Genomic DNA, 18544 nt, shown 5'->3' on the forward strand with positions numbered 1-18544 from the left:
TTCATTCTATCCTGCTGTCTGGAATATGAAAGCTACTATCTTGGTTCATGAGGAGGAAAGCCTCCCCTTCAGGATGGTGGAGCATGAGCCTGAAAGAAACTGGATCGCTAAAGATTTCCTGGAACAGAGATGACCAGCCCTGCCCTCCAGCCCTGGAGTATTTCTAGGATTTTTTGGGAAAGAGAAATAATTATCTTCTTGAAGCCTATTTAAGGTTTTTGGGTTGCTGTTACTTGTACCATGGCCTAATCTGAACTGTGACAAAAAGTTTTCTACAGCCAAGCATGAGGTAAAAGTGAGCTAAGACAACTGGGAATGAGTTCACATCATCTTCCAATATATTCTGCCTCTGTTCAGGTAACTGCTTGACTTGACAGCCACAGAATTCTTCCAAAGTTAATACTCTTGTCATGAAAGGGTCCTAGTGATATTTGTGGATAGCAGTGACTTATTAAGGAGATTCCCAGACACCACCCAAACAGACTGGCCAAGAGAATTGGAGGGAGTTTAGTTATTCTTAGAATCAATGGCCTTGGAGCCCTCATATACACACTGATGCATTAATGACAGACTTTTCTCATGAATGGCCTCATGTTTACTTTTCACCTACCATGAAGTATACTCTTGTTGATAATCAAAGTCCTTTTCTATTCCATTGCACATTCTGCAGTACATTTTTTATTTTTAAGTATACTGATACATGCCATTACAACTAATTTTTATAATCAGCCCAAATCATTTTCAGCCATGCAGTAGAAATGGTACATTTTCATTTTCTTGAGATCATGATATAATTTTAGAGGACAGGATGCCACCTCCATTTTAATGAGCAAATGACACACATCTAACTCTATTATTGGCAGAAAATCTGGTGCTAAGATTTCTATCCTATGTCTGTGAAAACTTCAGTTAGAAGCCCTCATTCTAAACATTACTTCTGTCAGGCATTAGAATTCTCTCCTTGGACTGTTTTCTTTCTTTCTTTTTTTTGAGACGGAGTTTCGCTCTGTTGCCCAGTTTGGAGTGCAGTTACACGATCTCGGCTCACTGCAAGCTCCGCCTCCCGGGTTCACGCCATTCTCCTGCCTCAGCCTCCCGAGTAGCTGGGACTGTTTTCTAAGTGTCCATCCTTGTGTCTCTCTCTCTGGGACTATTTTATCCATAAAGAAATAAAACACTATATTTCTCCAAAATTTTCAATGAAGGTAATTTACACCAAGAGTCTGGAATATAACAAGAGATAAGTTAGCTCTAGAAGAGAGAAATGATAAGCCAGTGAAAACACAGTTAAATGCAAATTAAATAATTTCAACAATAGGTAGGTAAATTAGATAAGATAACCTATCTGTAATCTTAAAATATCTACTATTCCTGAAGGAATAAGGGTAATACTTGACCAAAGGACTTGAAACTCTGTTTCAATTACAGAATATCAGGGTGCTAGCCCTCTCTCTTATCTAACTCTAAAAGCCTTATCATCATTCGCATTCCTATCAAGTAGCTAGAATTAGAATCCTCTTAAATCTTATCTAAAATATTATAATTCCACCCAAACAGTAGTTAGCCCTCACAGTTAGGCTTTGGCCCCGCTGCTGTCTTCACTTAAACTAATGTTTTTCCCTTATGAATGCAGGAGATTCTTCGATATGGTTTGGCTTCTCACCTGAATTTCAGACTATGGCTTCAAATGTTTTCATGACACTGCTATGAAGACTAGCTTTTATGTCTGATTTAATGTGTCTGAAACCAAATTCCTCAACTTATTCCCTGTAATCTAGCTCAAAGTCCCATGTTTCCCCCCTGCAAGAACTCTCCTGTTCTCTCTGTGAACTAGCCTTGCAAAGTTAGTACACCGTTCAGCCCTCCTTGTCGCCTTTCTAAGTAAAGTGCTTTCTTTCTCTGCAATATGAAGTTAATCGTTCAGTAATTCTCAGCTGCACCATCCCAATTCAGGTATCTATATCATTCCTACTCTCAGAAAACTGCCAGCCAAATGGTCTTCTTGCTTCTGGCTTTCTTTCTCTTCTGTTCTAAATACTGCCTCACAGCAGCTCACCTTTGATGTAAAGTCTATCATGCTATTTGCTAAATTATGAAATCCAAACCCTTGGCCTGAATTCCATGACAATTCATAATCTGGCCACTCTTGTCTCTCTAATGAAATCTGCATCCATTTCCACATGTGTTCTCTTTACCCAGACCAGCTTCCTACTACCTCCTGAGGCCCTCAGCTACATTTCCAACTCCAAATATCTGCTCATTCTGGAATGCTGCTCCTTCCCCGACCTCTGCTGACCTTAACTTCCCTGTCTCAAAAGTCCAGCCCAGACCCCTCCCAGGAGCCTTCCCTGACAATCCAGACAACACTCTGGCCCCTTCTTTGACCTTTCCTAGCCCTCTGGTAGGCATTGCATCATGGCACTTCATGGCTCTGATATTTAATTACTGTACGTTCTGTGTTGTATCCCCAATTAGACAGCGATTCTGGAGGGCAGGGGCCAGTTCTAATATTGCTTCTGCATCCTCCACAGGATCAGGTCCAGTGCTAAGCAACTGAAGCTGCTGAATGGACAAGTATCTCGGCAGGGTATTTAATTCTGCAAGTTCCTTATGTCTCCTCCTTCCATTCCTTTAGCTCATCTTCTGCTCACTTAAACTGCTCCATAAGACTTCCAACAAAGGCCAGCAAAACACCAAGCAAAGAAAGCGAAATATATTCGGGTTCTATTCCGCAGGCTTCCTGAGCACCACCATCTATCAGTGATATTCCTAAAATAACTATTATTTTTTTTTTCTGAGATGCTGAACACCTATTAAATACTGTATGTCTCACGGCATTAACCATACTCTATGCCTGAGGAATCTTCTTAGGAGTAAAAGGTTAATCAGTTTCTCCTGCCACCCAGTGTATAGCTCTCAGCCAAACATTTTAAGGATTGGTAGGGATGCTTTCTACTTTTCTACACACTGTAGCGTGACTTATTGTTGCCACTCTTCCTATATATCAATGGTAAATGCCTTTGGGTCCTTAATTCCTTTGAGCTGGAAAAACAGCATTTGAATGCCTGGCACCTACTGAGACAAGAGTAAAAGATAACATGTTTCTCCAGGAAAGTATGGATTTAAACCCAGATGTAAGCAATATCAGAATAAGGTATTTGATAAAAATATTTTTAGAATGATTTAACCTGTAAAATATATTTCCATCCATACTGATAATATATCCACTTGTTTCTATATATATGGATGCATGGTTTCATCATCAAACTCCTCCTACCACACCAAGAAACTTCTAAAGTAAAAATTATTGGTAGGTACACGTCCTGGAATAGAATTAAAAAGGGCCCAGTAACAGTGACATTTAAATGGGAACGTTGAGGTGGTTATCATCTCCCGGACTCTTCATTCACTGCCTAACATTATAGACAACCTACCTGCATCATGTTGTTCTGGAAGCTTCTTGAAAGAGAACTCTTTTATGCATATTAGCATCCACTTAGATAATATTACACCAATACTGCGACCTTTTTCAATAGGTAATCATTTGCAAACTGGATGCTTCGTTTAACGGCATAACTTTCCCCCTTTTACAAACACTTTCAACTCCATATTAGCATAGGCAAGGGAGGCCACCTTGCTTAGAGAGACCATCACACTTAGGTAGGTATCTGGTTATTTTGCATGTGTATGACACCTGGCTCTCAACTGAGCTAACATACATGGGGCATTATTAGCAAATGACTCAGTGGCTCATAATTTAGTGACTTAAAGTTTCCAATTAGGAACTATTAAGAGCACAGTCAAATATTATTTATCAAGTTTTCCAAGTTAAGCAAAACCTGAAGTACTAACATTACCTAATATAAATAGAAGTTATCTGTTAAATAAATAAACTTGGAATAGAAGTTATCAGCATAGCCATAATAACTGACTGGCAAATCATTAGTGGTTATTATTCAGTTCTGAGACCTGACTGAGAAGATAACACCACAAAACACAGAAGAATGCCAATTAAAAAGAAAAAGAACACAGTGTTTATGGTAGGATAAAAAAGTACTAGTGACTGGATATTTGATGCCTATACTTTTGTTGCCAAGGCTAAGGATTGTTTTAAAGTATTATGTTCTGCCTTGATCGTGCTATTAATGTTCATGAGCAGATGAAAATTTACTCAGTTTTCAGTAATATTTGAAATTTTTACACATTGGAAACCAACCTAATCGACACTCTTCGTTCAGGTACTAGTTATCAAATCCTAAGTATTTTTGAACTAATAATTATCCTTTACATGTATCAGAGAACATTACCCTAAGTTGCTTGCTAAGTATTCTCTGGGACAGACATTCCTTAACACTCAGTTTTTAGTTGTAACAAGCACATGTGTTCTCACTCAGGTAACAAAAAGTTGTTAGTAAGAATATGAGAAGATTGGGTCAATGGTACTGTCAACACTGATCACTTGCGTTTGCTGCCCAGCAGTGGCCCTAGATGTTTTGCTGAAGAACTGTACTCCTAAGTGGGATGCTTTGATGAGCAGTCTAGGAGGTTCGTTTTGCCAAGATTGTCTACAGATGGCCTAACACCAGAGAACATGCTGAGAATTTAATGAATGCTTAATTTAAATTTGTGATCCTTACCCTGGTTTTATTTTAGAACTCAGGCATATCGTTTTAGATGCCCTGCAAAATTCATAGACAGAGTATCAACTATCTGCTCCCCAATCTCTCCCAAACAAAATGACCTAAAACCCTATTGTTTACTGCTTATTGTATATATATATTTTTTATTATTATACTTTAAGTTTTAGGGTACGTGTGCACAATGTGCAGGTTAGTTACATATGTATACATGTGCCACGCTGGTGCGCTGCACCCACTAACTCGTCATCTAGCATTAGGTATATCTCCCAATGCTATCCCTCCCCCCTCCCCCCACCCCACAACAGTCCCCAGGGTGTGATGTTCCCCTTCCTGTGTCCATGTGTTCTCATTGTTCGATTCCCACCTATGAGTGAGAATATGTGGTGTTTGGTTTTTTGTTCTCGCGATAGTTTACTGAGAATGATGATTTCCAATTTCATCCATGTCCCTACAAAGGACATGAACTCATCATTTTTTATGGCTGCATAGTATTCCATGGTGAATATCTGCCACATTTTCTTAATCCAGTCTATCATTGTTGGACATTTGGGTTGGTTCCAAGTCTTTGCTATTGTGAATAGTGATGCAATAAACATACGTGTGCATGTGTCTTTATAGCAGCATGATTTATAGTCCTTTGGGTATATACCCAGTAATGGGATGGCTGGGTCAAATGGTATTTCTAGTTCTAGATCCCTGAGGAATTGCCACACTGACTTCCACAATGGTTGAACTAGTTTACAGTCCCACCAACAGCGTAAAAGTGTTCCTATTTCTCCACATCCTCTCCAGCACCTGGTGTTTCCTGACTTTTTAATGATTCCCATTCTAACTGGTGTGAGATGGTATCTCACTGTGGTTTTGATTTGCATTTCTCTGATGGCCAGTGATGGTGAGCATTTTTTCATGTGTTTTTTGGCTGCATAAATGTCTTCTTTTGAGAAGTGTCTGTTCATGTCCTTTGCCCACTTTTTGATGGGGTTGTTTGAGTAAGAGCTATCTGTGACAAACCCACAGCCAAGATCATACTGAATGCGAAAAAACTGGAAGCATTCCCTTTGCAAACTGGCACAAGACAAGGATGCCCTCTCTCACCACTCCTATTCAACATAGTGTTGGAAGTTCTGGCCAGGGCAATTAGGCAGGAGAAGGAAATAAAGGGTATTCAGTTAGGAAAAGAGGAAGTCAAATTGTCCCTGTTTGCAGATGACATGATTGTATATCTAGAAAACCCCACTGTCTCAGCCCAAAATCTCCTTAAGCTGATAAGCAACTTCAGCAAAGTCTCAGGATACAAAATCAATGTACAAAAATCACAAGCATTCTTATATACCAATAACAGACAGAGAGCCAAATCATGAGTGAACTCCCATTCACAATTGCTTCAAAGAGAATAAAATACCTAGGAATCCAACTTACAAGGGATGTGAAGGACCTCTTCAAGGAGAACTACAAACCACTGCTCAATGAAATAAAAGAGGATACAAACAAATGGAAGAACATTCCATGTTCATGGGTAGGAAGAATCAATATCGCGAAAATGGCCATACTGCCCAAGGTAATTTATAGATTCAAATGCCATCCCCATCAAGCTACCAATGACTTTCTTCACAGAATTGGAAAAAACTACTTTAAAGTTCATATGGAACCAAAAAAGAGCCCGCATCGCCAAGTCAATCCTAAGCCAAAAGAACAAAGCTGGAGGCATCATGCTACCTGACTTCAAACTATACTACAAGGCTACAGTAACCAAAACAGCATGGTACTGGTACCAAAACAGAGATATAGATCAAAGGAACAGAACAGAGCCCTCAGAAATAACACCGCATATCTACAACTATCTGATCTTTGACAAACCTGACAAAAAACAAGCAATGGGGAAAGGATTCCCTATTTAATAAATGGTGCTGGGAAAACTGGCTAGCCATATGTAGAAAGCTGAAACTGGATCCCTTCCTTACACCTTATACAAGAATCAATTCAAGATGGATTAAAGACTTAAACATTAGACCTAAAACCATAAAAGCCCTAGAAGAAAACCTAGGCATTACCATTCAGGACATAGGCATGGGCAAGGACTTCATGTCTAAAACACCAAAGCAATGGCAACAAAAGCCAAAATTGACAAATGGGACCTAATTAAACTAAAGAGCTTCTGCACGGCAAAAGAAACTACCATCAGAGTGAACAGGCAACCCACAAAATGGGAGAAAATTTTCACAACCTACTCATCTGACAAAGGGCTAATATCCAGAATCTACAATGAACTCAAACAAATTTACAAGAAAAAAGCTTATTGTATATTTTATATATTGTCACTGAAAAAAAACTAGGAATAATTTAGATTAATTTCATTTAATTGAATGCTGACATCTGGTAAGTAGACAAATTTCTGTTAACCCAAAGTCCAAAGCTGTAACAAGGAAAACTTATGTCTAGGATTATTGTAAAAAATAAACTACTACTTAGTATTCAATGCTACAGAGTATAAACATATAAAGCCATTAACAAGAAAACAAACTAAGTATAAGGTCTTTCTTATTGCTATGGAAAACTGCCTAGGGATTTCAGATTATTTATATGCATATGGCTTATCAAGATGTTAATTCTAAATCTATATTTAAAAAATATTTGGCAGACATGTATTATATTGCTAATGTGCCAAAGACTGCTAAGATATCATAGGAGATATAATGAATAGGTACAGCCTCTGACATCACAGGAGCTTAGAAATTAGTGAAGAGATAGACACAGACAGAAATTATGTAGAGATATGGAAATGATTGATTTTGGATTGAGAATGCTATGATTAGACTTTAGGCTCTATTGGAGCCCTCAACACAAAACAAAACCTTCCAAACTCCCAGTTGCTCAGAGCAAAAACCTTAGAATTATTCTTAAGTCTTCTATTACTATTATACATCACATCTGATGTGTCATAATATCCTTTTGGATCACCCTCAAAATATAAATATAGTCACCTATATGGCTACGTGCTGTTCCAGGCCACTATCATCTCTTACCTTGATTGCTGTATGGGCCTAACTGGTCTTCCTGTGCCTACTCTGTCATCTATTTTCATGGTTTTTTTTATTATAATACAGAAACTAGAATAATCCTATTAAAACTTTAAAGACAGACCATGTTTCTCCTTTGCCCACATCCCTCCAATGGTTTCCTGTTTCTTCAAGGGTAAAAGCTAAAGTCCTTTAGGGCCTTAAGTGATCTGGCCTCACTTACCCCTTGAACCTCATCTCCAGCTACTCTTCCTCTTGGTCCTTCTGCTCTGGCCACATTGCCCAGTCAGACATACCCCTCCCTTAGCACTGACAGTTCTCTCTTTCACCTCCTTGAGAGTCTTGATTCAAATGCAACCTTCACAATGAAACCTGCTGTGATGTCCTATAAAAGTCATGGATCCACACCACTAGTGCCATGTGATGGTGACAGAAACAGAGCTTATTGTGGGAACAACACACAATCAGAGAAGTAGGTAGCGTGCATGCAATCTCCCAAACTCCCATTGTCCTACTGCTGAGGTGAGGCACAAATGCTCTACACACACTGTAGTTACAGTTTCAGCATCCTGCTCTATGTATTGACAGGATATTTATGCAAACTTATAATAGCAGAAGCTCCCTGGTCACACAAGTGGCCTGTTAGAAAGAAGTGCTTCTAGAGCCAGTGGCTGGTGTCAGCCTGCTCTACCATTGAACTAACTCAGAAGTGATGAACCAGCTTTCTGCTACGCTACCAGAAAGAGGGAAAATGAGACTATAGTTTTGTTTTTCATCACCCAACCAGCCCAGTTAAAAATTGTAAGCCATCCCTCAGCGCTCATGAGTACCACTCCCTTGGCATAGTTTTTTTTTTTTTTTTTTCCCAGAGCGCTCAGTAACGTCTAACATAATACACTTAATTATTTTTCTAAATCCATTAGCTACCTTCCCTACTAGCAAGTGGCATCTCCATTAGAGTAGGGAATTTTATCCATGCTATTCACTGCTGTATTTTAACAGTGCCTGCCCTGAAGTAGGCTCTCAATTAAGATCTGTTGAATGAATGCATTAATGAATAATGAATGAATGAATGTGGGGAACTATGGAGGAGGTTAATGGTGAAGATGCAACAACTAAACAGTAAATGAGGAAAGAAGTGCTTGGATTCGACTGAAATATGTAGAACTGTACCCTTTGAGGAGGAAGGAGAAAGGGAAGGGTGGAAATTAACTGTTGAAGAATGAGTTTTGAATAAAGAAAAATCTGAGCCAATCAGTCAGGCAATATTGAAATTTTTGTGCCCGGTCTGACAAATTGGAGTGCATCTATCAGAGGGTGGTGAAGATGGTGGGAAATTGACAACCATTTACATGATGAGGAATTGATTAATTATTTTGAAAAAGAAAAGGAAGGAATGAAGAGGTAGGAAGGAAGCATGGGGAAGGGGAAAGAACATACCAGATGAAAAGTTACCATGAGAGGGAGAGTATATAGTATATTTATTTTGAATGTACAATGCATTATTTTTATAGTATATTTGGGGTTATCTTGGTAGGAAGAATATATATTTATTTTGAACTAATCACAGTAAATAGCTATAGTACATCAAATTTCTAGATCAATAAAAGAAAAAAACTTAATTTGTTCAGAAAATAGGGTGTTTTGTGTGGTATTGAACATAAAGTCCCTTGAGTGTTCAAGCAAAGCCTGATGATGACTTCTCAGGAGTGTTACAGAACGTTTAAAAAAACTTGTATTAGGGCTAATGGGGATGGTAAGTTTGAAGTGCCTAGATACAAGAAGAGTTTCTCTGGCATTCCTACCTATTGTTTAGATGTTAAGCTGTATTGTATGTAACACTTGAGACGTGAGTATGATATAGTATTTAATGCAAGCAGAGGCTCAACAAATGTTGAATGCACGAAGCAATGAATGAAAGTATAACTTAATGAAAGGAAACCCTAGCCGAATATGTAGTCAGCTTATTAATGTTATTAAGAGCAAGAGAGCTGCAGAGTTAAAACCTGCTACCTTATGCAGATTTGGGATTCAGCAGGGAAAATCAAATATCAGTCATATATCAGGAAAAAAGAGATATCAGCATTGATCCTCATAACTAGGAGCCTGGTTAAATTTTTAGGAAGAAAAACTGGGAATTTCTCCCCATTTAGATGAATTTGTTTGTTTTTCAAGCAAGAGACTAGTAAAACCAAATTCTTGGATCAGGGCTGTTATATGAAAGCACTATGGTAAATTAACTGCATTGAGACCAGTTATGTATGTATGTTTGTATGTATGTATGTATGCATGTATCTATGTATGTAGTTATTTTTTATATTGAGTCTCCCTCTGTTGCCCATGCTGGAGTGCAGTGGCACCATCTTGGCTCACTACAACCTCCACTTCCTGGGTTCAAGCAATTCTTCTGCCTCGGCCTCCCGAGTAGCTGGGATTACAGATGCGTGCCACCACACCGGGCTAATTTTTTGTATTCTTAGTAGAGACGGGGTTTCACCACGTTGGCCAGGCAGGTTTCAAACTCCTAACCTCAAATGATCCACCTGCTTCAGCCTCTCAAAGTGCTGGGGATTACAGGCATGAGCCACTCTGCCTGGCCGAGACCAGTTTTCAATTTAGAACATGAGGTTATATGAGACACTATAAAAGTATTAATGAACAGTATAAAAGATGAGAAATTCTAAGATCATAAGTACTGCTCTGAGCCTTGAAACATTTAAAAGATAGCACTGAATGAGGTTATCTGAATCTGTAGAATTTACACCTGCAAGCCATATTCTGAAGGGATCCTGGATACTGGTTGCTAACTTTTAAAGCCATCAGGCTCAGAATAAAAATGCTTTAGAGTAGCTGGTAAAGATCCTGAAGTAACTAAATAAAAAAGGGAAGCCCAGCATCACTTACTAATGAAGATGTGCAATTGCAGTTGATCAGTTGTTCAAGAACTGTAAATTATGTGGACATCATAAATGAAGAGAGAAGAATATAAAAATGTCAGCAATATGTTATAACTAACTTAGTCCATAGAATAGTGTGTATACCGGAATAGTGTGTATCCAGGAAATAGAAGTAGGAAACCAAAGTATCAGGGAAAAGGAGAAGGACTTTATAAATATACTTAAAATTGTCAAATGAGGCTAATGTAACACTTCACACTGGGTACCAGTATTGGAAGTGGTAGCAGGAGCAGCAGTAGTAATAGCAGGAGCAAAACACATAGCACTTCCCACATGTGAGATGCTATTCTCAGTATTTCACACCTACTAACTCTTTTAAGCCTCCTAACATGAGCATTAAACACTATGAGACAGTGTTGCATGATGAAATAAACTGGGGAAAACTCTAGATAAACTGTCACTTTCCTAGAAGGGAATACATCATACTAGCAGCATTTCTTATATATCTGTTTGACAAAAGAAATCTTTTCATGGTACTTCTCACAGGGCTAGAGATTCCTGGAATACTCCATTGGAGATATTGATCTGATATTTGTAAAAGGGGTTTGAAAAGTAAGAGTGTCCTGTTAATCATCAAATTATTGAATTTCAGAATTCTTAGGTTCTCTTATTCCATATAAAATATTTAATACAATGTTTCAGACAAATGGTCATTCAAGTATTGTTTAGGAGCCTGCATTGGCTAGAAGTGCAGTCTCTCAGAAAGATAAGGCATTTCACCATGGAAAGGCAATACAATTCATTGAAAACACTTTTTTTTTGTATTAAAGTAGTGTTTTTCTTGTATAAATCTCATTCACTGACTGCCTGACTGCTGTAATAATGTAAAGTCCTCTTATAACTCCAAGTTACAAAATGACAAAAAGAAAAATTAGAATAAGGATGGAAAATTTTAGAGAAAAGTTTAAAATTAATACAGTGGAACTGCAGTGGGTCGAATGGTGGCCCTTCAAAAAGATATGCCCACCCAGGACCTGTGAACCTGTGAATGTGACTTTATTTGAAACAGGGGTCTTTGCAGATGTAATTCAGTTAAGGATCTCATAATGAGATCAAGCTGTATTTGGGTGGGCCCTAAATCCAATGACAGGTGTCCATAAGAGAAAAGAAGGGACAATGATACACACAGAAGGTGACGTGAAGACCAGCAGAGACTGGAGCGGTGCATCTATAAACCAAGCCATGCCAAGGATTGCCAGTAGAAACTGGGAGAGGGGCATGGGAGGGATTCTCCCTCAGAGCCTCCAGGAAGAATTAGCCCTGCTAACACTTTGGTTTTCAACTTCTGGCCTCCAGAAGGGTGAGAGAGTAAACTTCTGTTGTTTTAAGCCACTTGGTTCGTGATAATTTTATAGCAGTACTAGGAAACCAATATAATGAGATTAAAACAAATATTTAAATTACCAGAATAAAATTAGATCATATCAAACCCAATTGCAAAATGACCGAGGAAAAGATGACAAAAAAACTGAGGATACAATAAAATCAGAAAATAAAGGCAGGTGAATATGGGAATGCTGAATTAAAAGGGCAAGGGAGAAACTAAGTTAAGTGGATGGTTAGGAACCTGTACGAAGGAGATAATAAATATTGTCTCTATTCTATTGTAATATAACTAATAAATAGTAGTTAAGGAATTATTAGGATGTTTAAGGAATTATCAGGAATAAGAATGCTACTTTATGTTCTACTGAGTTAAATAAATACGACACAAATTATCCAAGTTTCTGTTTCTACCCAAAATACTGACTAAAAATGAAGGATAAGCATGTTGTTGGATGGTGAATAGAATAATGGGGACAGTGGGTGACAGGAAAGAGACCACACCCAGGGAGAGACAGCCTAGGCTCTGTTCTGGCTTCTACTTCTTCCTGCAAGGTCAAACTTATGGCTCCAATGACAAAAGTAGCCTTTGTCAATCTTTGAAGAATTGCTACACTATTTGTCACCACACTGAAAGGAACATGCTGATCTACACTTTGTTTTCAAACTCACCCATATTCCCATGCTTTTCCAGTTTCAACTTAGCACTCTAATATCTGCTGTGTCTCCTGTGAACCTTAGACTCTGACTTCTCTTATTTAGCCCCTTCTGAGGCTATTTCATGCAAGGCATGTGCAAAAGTACAATTGAGAATGACAAGCAAAGGGTCCTGGCTTCTAGGGCTCCAGCAAACAATGCACCAGAAGAAATTAAGCCTATATACAAATGCCTATAATTCTCACATCACTATATTCTATGTGAACTATGAAATGGAGTATTAATGATTCATAAAATTCTACCTTCAATCCAGACCACTCTCCTCAGTGCCAGCTGCATCCTGAACCATTGAATATCCGCAGGTACCTAAACACTGTGCAAAACTGAATATATTCTCTTTTCTCTTAAATCTGTTCTATCTCTTCTGTTTCCTGGATTGTTAATGGTTTTATCACTTGCCAGTTGTCCAAAGCAAATACTTATGTACCATACTTGTACTAATTTGATTTCAAATCCTTTATCCAATCAACTCAACCTCTAAGATATACGCAAACCTGCCACTATCCTTCTCTGCTGTCACTATGCAACTCATGTTCAAAGCATGCTTATCCCTCTCACGGACATCTGCAATAGCCTCCTAACTCATCTTCCCTCTGTGCATGCCTCCCTCTAGGCCACTCCTCAGGAACAGTCAGTGGTCTTTTAAGACAATGTAAATTAGTTCATGCCATTTTCTGTCTGTAAAACTTCAATACTTTCCTAGTGCAAATATCAGAATCCACTTACTATACTCACAACACATTGGTCCTTTTTCAGTTCCTTAAAAATATGAAGTTCTCTAATGCTTATGAACCTTCACACAAACGACCTCTTTGCTATGCAGGTTCCCTATTGGCCACCACCCCACACCCTGTCAGCTCTTGTAGATCCTTTAAGTTTAGCCTGACTGTCACTTCTTCAAAAAGCCCTTCTCTGACCCTGAAGGCTAAATGGCCCTGCTCCCATTTCCTTGCACTTATGCTTCAGCTTCATAAGGATTATCAAAATTTGTGATTATTGAAGGTGTTTGTTTTTGTCTGTTCTTGTTCACCAGATTGTGTATCTTATTCACTATTATAATTCAAGTATCTAGCACAAGGCCTAGCACATACTAAGTACTGAAAATATTTTCAGGATAAAGGGATGAATGAATGAATGAATGAATAAATGAATGAATGAATGAATGAAGCAAATCCAATGAGGTCACAGGTAAGGAACGGATGGCTTCAAATATGATCTGTTCAGTACATGCTAGTGTTCCACACGTCCTGAAATCAATGGACCAGACGCTTCTATGTCTGAAGCAGGCAAAAGAAGGACACTGTCACTACCTCCCAATTCTTCAGATATAGCCAGCAAATGGGATCATCTCCACAACTGAAAACTTCTATTCTGAAATATTTCAGACTTAAAGTAGCAAGGAGAGCAAAAGGAATTCCCACATATTTTTCATTCAGACTCCCCAAATGTTAACATTTTATGATGTTTGCTTTATCAATCTATGTATTTTTCCTGAGCCACTTGAGAATAAATTGCAGACATAATGCCCCTTATTGCTAAATACTCAGCACACGTTCCTGAAAAACAAAGGTATTCTCTTCTCTTATATAACCACAGTACAATTATCAAAAGCAGAAAATTGCATTGATGCGGTACTATTTTTTAATCAAGAGAATTTATTCAAAATTTGCCAATTGTATCACATCTTTTATAGCAACATATATACACACATATTTTATAACATATACAAAATATGTTACTATACACACACACATATATATACATACGTGTGTGTGTGTGTGTGTGTGTATGTATCTTCCCAACCCCTGTTCTAGGATTCAATCCAAGACCACATGTTATATGTAGTTGTCACATCTCTTGGTCTCCTTTAATCTGAAACAGTTCCTCAGACTTTTTCTTTAATGACACTGAAGGTTTTAGAGTATAGACCAATTATTTTGCAGAATGTCTTTTAGTTTGGGATTGTCTGATGTTTCCTCATGATTAGATTCCACTTATGCTTTTTGGGGACAATAATACCACCAAAGTGTTGGTTTGTCCTGCTTGGAGCATTATATTAGGAGGTACATGATATTTATTTGTCCCATTATTAGGGATGTTAACTTCAATCACTTGGTTATTACTATTACCCTTTTGTAATTAATAAGTTCTTACAGAAGATACTTGGATATTATATAAATATAGTGATAGCCATTTAAAAAAATTACCCAACTCTACTCTGTGGCCCAACTAATTCTCTACAAATAAAAACTTGGCAAAATATTTAAGGTCTGCTTATGGGTCACAAAATAGCTAAACATACAACTTTTCCTAATGCACCAATCTGTTAACATTACCTTACCTGCTTCTCTCATGCAAACAAAGGAAAAAACCTAAGATGCTATTTTTAAAAGAACATTATAAAATCTCTAATTTCATTCCTCATTCATCAGATGAGAAAGCTAAGGTCCAGACAGGCTAAGTGACTCGCCTAAGGTCAGACAGCTACTCTGGCAGACCTCAAAATAATTATGTGTTCATTGTAGAGCAAGAAATGCAAAAGTCAATTTAATGCCCTTCAAATATACAAGCCCTACAGGTAAACCTAAAGCAATCTAAGGCAGGTTTGAGATGACCATTTTGGAAAATAATGGGATTTTTACAAAGATCCATAGAACATCTTTCATGGAGTCACTGAAGTTTCTAGAGGAAGCCCAAGAGCTCCCTGCTATGCCTGAGTTCTCTCTTTGTTCTTTTTCTTTCTCTCTTTTCTTCTCCCTTAGAAATGCTCTTAAGTCATTCCAAAGACAAAGATAAAATCCCATCACTCTGGGAGAGAGGCTGAGAGACAGCCTACAATGGGCCCCTAACTTTAAAATGTTATGCTCCTTGCCCAATACTTTGGACACTTGCTTAATTCTAATCAATATCTTTTTAGATGTTACTTTGAATTTGCATAAGATAGTCCTGTCATAATCTTATCACATTGTACATACTTGAAAAAATAATTGGTAAACATTCTACGAACATTCTAACCTAGAGTAGCCCAAAAGTAAGTGGCCACTACAGTGCCCTGGGGCTTTCTTTTCCAAGGTGACTAGATTATTTAAAAATAATAACAATAATAAACAGCAGGTTTCAGGAGTTGAAGTTCTATTCTCAACCTCTACTCAGAACACAGAATGGTTCCAAGCTTTACCTTGCCTGCTCTGTATCCTCCAAGGACTTTTAGAAGTAATGGAGATGCCATTTCTGTCCAACCCAGTATCCCAAGGTAATAATGCTTGGCAAATGTTATTTTTAGATGATAGCAGCATACCTAAAGCTATGAACCAAAGGTAAGCAATATGAAGACATCTTGCACAATCTTTCTATACAAACATGCAGCATTTCCTCCTTACCACTTCCTGGGATGTATAAAATGCATAAAAATAGAAGCAGTCTTTCTTTAAGGGTGAGCTTTTATCAAGACTTGGTATAAAAATAAGCAAGTTATATTTAAAAAATCATAAAGGCAAAGATGTACATTGCTATGAGTCATAATTAGTAAATGTATTCAAGCCTTAGAAATATAGGAAAGTACTGTGTTAGAATAAGAGTTAGAAGTAGCAGCAGTAGTAGAGGAAGTAGAAGTTGTAGAGTCAGCAGTAACTTTTACTGTTTACCATGTAAGAGCACTATGCTAAGTGCTTTATATAGAACACCTCATTTAGTCCTCAGAACCATCTTAGTCTTCCTCTAACTTTATACAAAGTTAGTATAAAGTAAATAAAACACTGGAATGGTATCACAAATTTGATCTAAGATTGTAATCCTTCTTTGCAGTAACGAATGACTAATCTTGGAGTGTTAACCACTGTGCAATCATTACCAACCTACACCCCTTCTCTCCTTTTGAGTTGCTTTACGAGGGAGATCTTACCTGACCACTCTATATAAAAATATGAAACTCCTCCAAACCAGACTTGCCTGAGTTTCCCCATTGAAATGTAAACTCCATAAAGGCAGGAACTTTGTCTTCTTAATTGCTATATCCCAGAACCAGAACAGTGCCTTGTATGTGTTAGGTGTTTAATATATATCTGTTTAACGAATGAATGAATAATTGATGAACAAAACCAAACGATAACAAATATAAAATTTTCAATGAATTGTTTGCTTTCCCTTCACAATTACAAAAAAAAAGTTTTAGTGGCTTGATTCAAGTTGTCAGAATCTCTTAAAAAGACTGGATAGGGAAGTTTGAACTCATGAGTTTATTTGCTGAAAAATTTATCTGGGGCTAGCATGGATATTCAAAGACATTCTACTGGCTATGCTTTTTTTTAAGAAAAAGTCCTGTAATTCCCTTCTTAGTTGTCAAACAAGTTGAGCATTAAATACTTCATTAAACATGAGACATAATTTTAAGTTAGACAACTTCATTCATTGCCGGGCTACATTCTCTGAGTACCTCCATGTACTAAACACTAAGGAATTGGCTGGGAGTGAACCACAGAGTGAAATATGAGGGTTAGTGACCTTCCTACCTAATATGGGACATCTGTTCTCCCTGTCTGCCCCACTTCTCCCTCCTAGGCTCTCTAGAGCTAAGTGAACAACTCAAACAGGATTTTTCATCTAACTGACCTCCCTGGCAACTTTTATTATCTCTTGCTGCTGGGAAGGCAAAGAAACAGAGCTTCGAAAATTACATGTTTCATGCTGGGGGAAATGTCATAGCTTCAACAGAGTTTTAAGATATTGGTAGGAAAATTGTTTTTTTGGAGAAAACTTCCATTTTTGAATGAGCAAAAATTATGCCTATTTGAGAATCTAAAATAATCAGGTAATCTTGGGCTAAAAAATAACACCATAAAATCTAATAGGTGTTTAAAGTTTTAACATAAAGTTCGCTCTACTTTCATTGCACGAGCTTAGGCATACATCATTGATCACTGTGAGGAAAACATATATTAAGTTACTTAAATAAAAAATATGTCAGTTGATGTGACAGATTGTTTGTTTACTTGAATTGAAATGTATAAAACTTCACTGATGTTGTTGAAACCCAGAGCATTACCTGTTCCCCTTTCAGTTTCTGCTTTCAAGGAAAAATATAAAGTTATATTAAACCGACGCAAATTCTGTTTTCAAATACCTCTAGATATCCCAGTGTTGCTTAGGCTAAAGATTCTAAGAGTAATGAAATTGTATTCACTTCTTCCCCAAAACACTTATTTAAAAAAAATAAAGTGATATCAGATTAAGAAAATAAAATCACACCTTCTTGATGACATTTTTCAATTTTTTTGTTACATGCTCTATCTCCAGGAAGATTATGTAACATTAAACGATGAGAGAAAAGGTTTTCGACTTAGACTCACAGTCCAACCATAACATGCTTTTGTTTGCATGCTAATCTTTTGTGATTAGTTGTAGCACACAGCTCATTCTGAAAGAAAGTGGCCAATGTATGGTTTTAGAAATACTAGCATCCAAAAAAACACATTAGTAATGTCAAAATTCTTAAAGTAGTCATTGAAATAGACCATAAGCAGATTTGAGATACTAGGCTAACTGGAGAGCTGTGTACCAGCCCTGCTTAAATACTATTACTCAAACAGAATTATGACCTCACACATTACATGTAAGTTAAAAAGAGTTTAGTTAATATAAAAGTCAATGAAAAGTATGAAATGTAAATATTAGCATATCTTTTACGTTTCTGCTGGATTTTTGGACATAAACATAATTTTTAATTTGCCATAAAGATCTATAATTAGACATGTTCACAAGCCTGTTGGTCCATCTGACTCTGCTTAACTCCAGAAAAGAAGTCCTTGCTCATGCATTAGCGCATCCATTGGTTATATTTTAAAATTTGGAAGGAAGATGTTTAATGTTATTGTGCCCCTAATTTTTAAGTGAC

General features: G+C 37.4%; 1 protein-coding gene across 11 annotated transcripts in view; it reads right to left on the reverse strand.

Annotated features, from left to right (window-relative positions):
• The window catches only part of VAV3 (vav guanine nucleotide exchange factor 3), a 394020-nt gene that overhangs the window by 6476 nt on the left and 369000 nt on the right, over nucleotides 1-18544 (reverse strand). Inside the window, exons 26-27 of one of the 11 annotated variants that reach the window (XR_007063680.1) lie at nucleotides 17899-18067; nucleotides 659-16715 (exon numbers count right to left, since the gene is read on the reverse strand). The exons of 9 other annotated variants lie outside the window; for them this stretch is intronic. Coding sequence is in view for 1 of the 2 variants with exons in the window: in XM_017000054.2 (XP_016855543.1) it covers nucleotides 18066-18067 (2 nt within the window). In the remaining variant the exon portion in view is untranslated. Of the gene's footprint in view, nucleotides 1-658; nucleotides 18068-18544 lie in introns of those variants that run through there. One more of the 11 variants, XM_017000054.2, reaches the window with a different exon arrangement.

The sequence above is a fragment of the Homo sapiens genome, chromosome 1, assembly GCF_000001405.40.
Source record: "Homo sapiens chromosome 1, GRCh38.p14 Primary Assembly".
Lineage (NCBI taxonomy): Eukaryota > Metazoa > Chordata > Mammalia > Primates > Hominidae > Homo > Homo sapiens.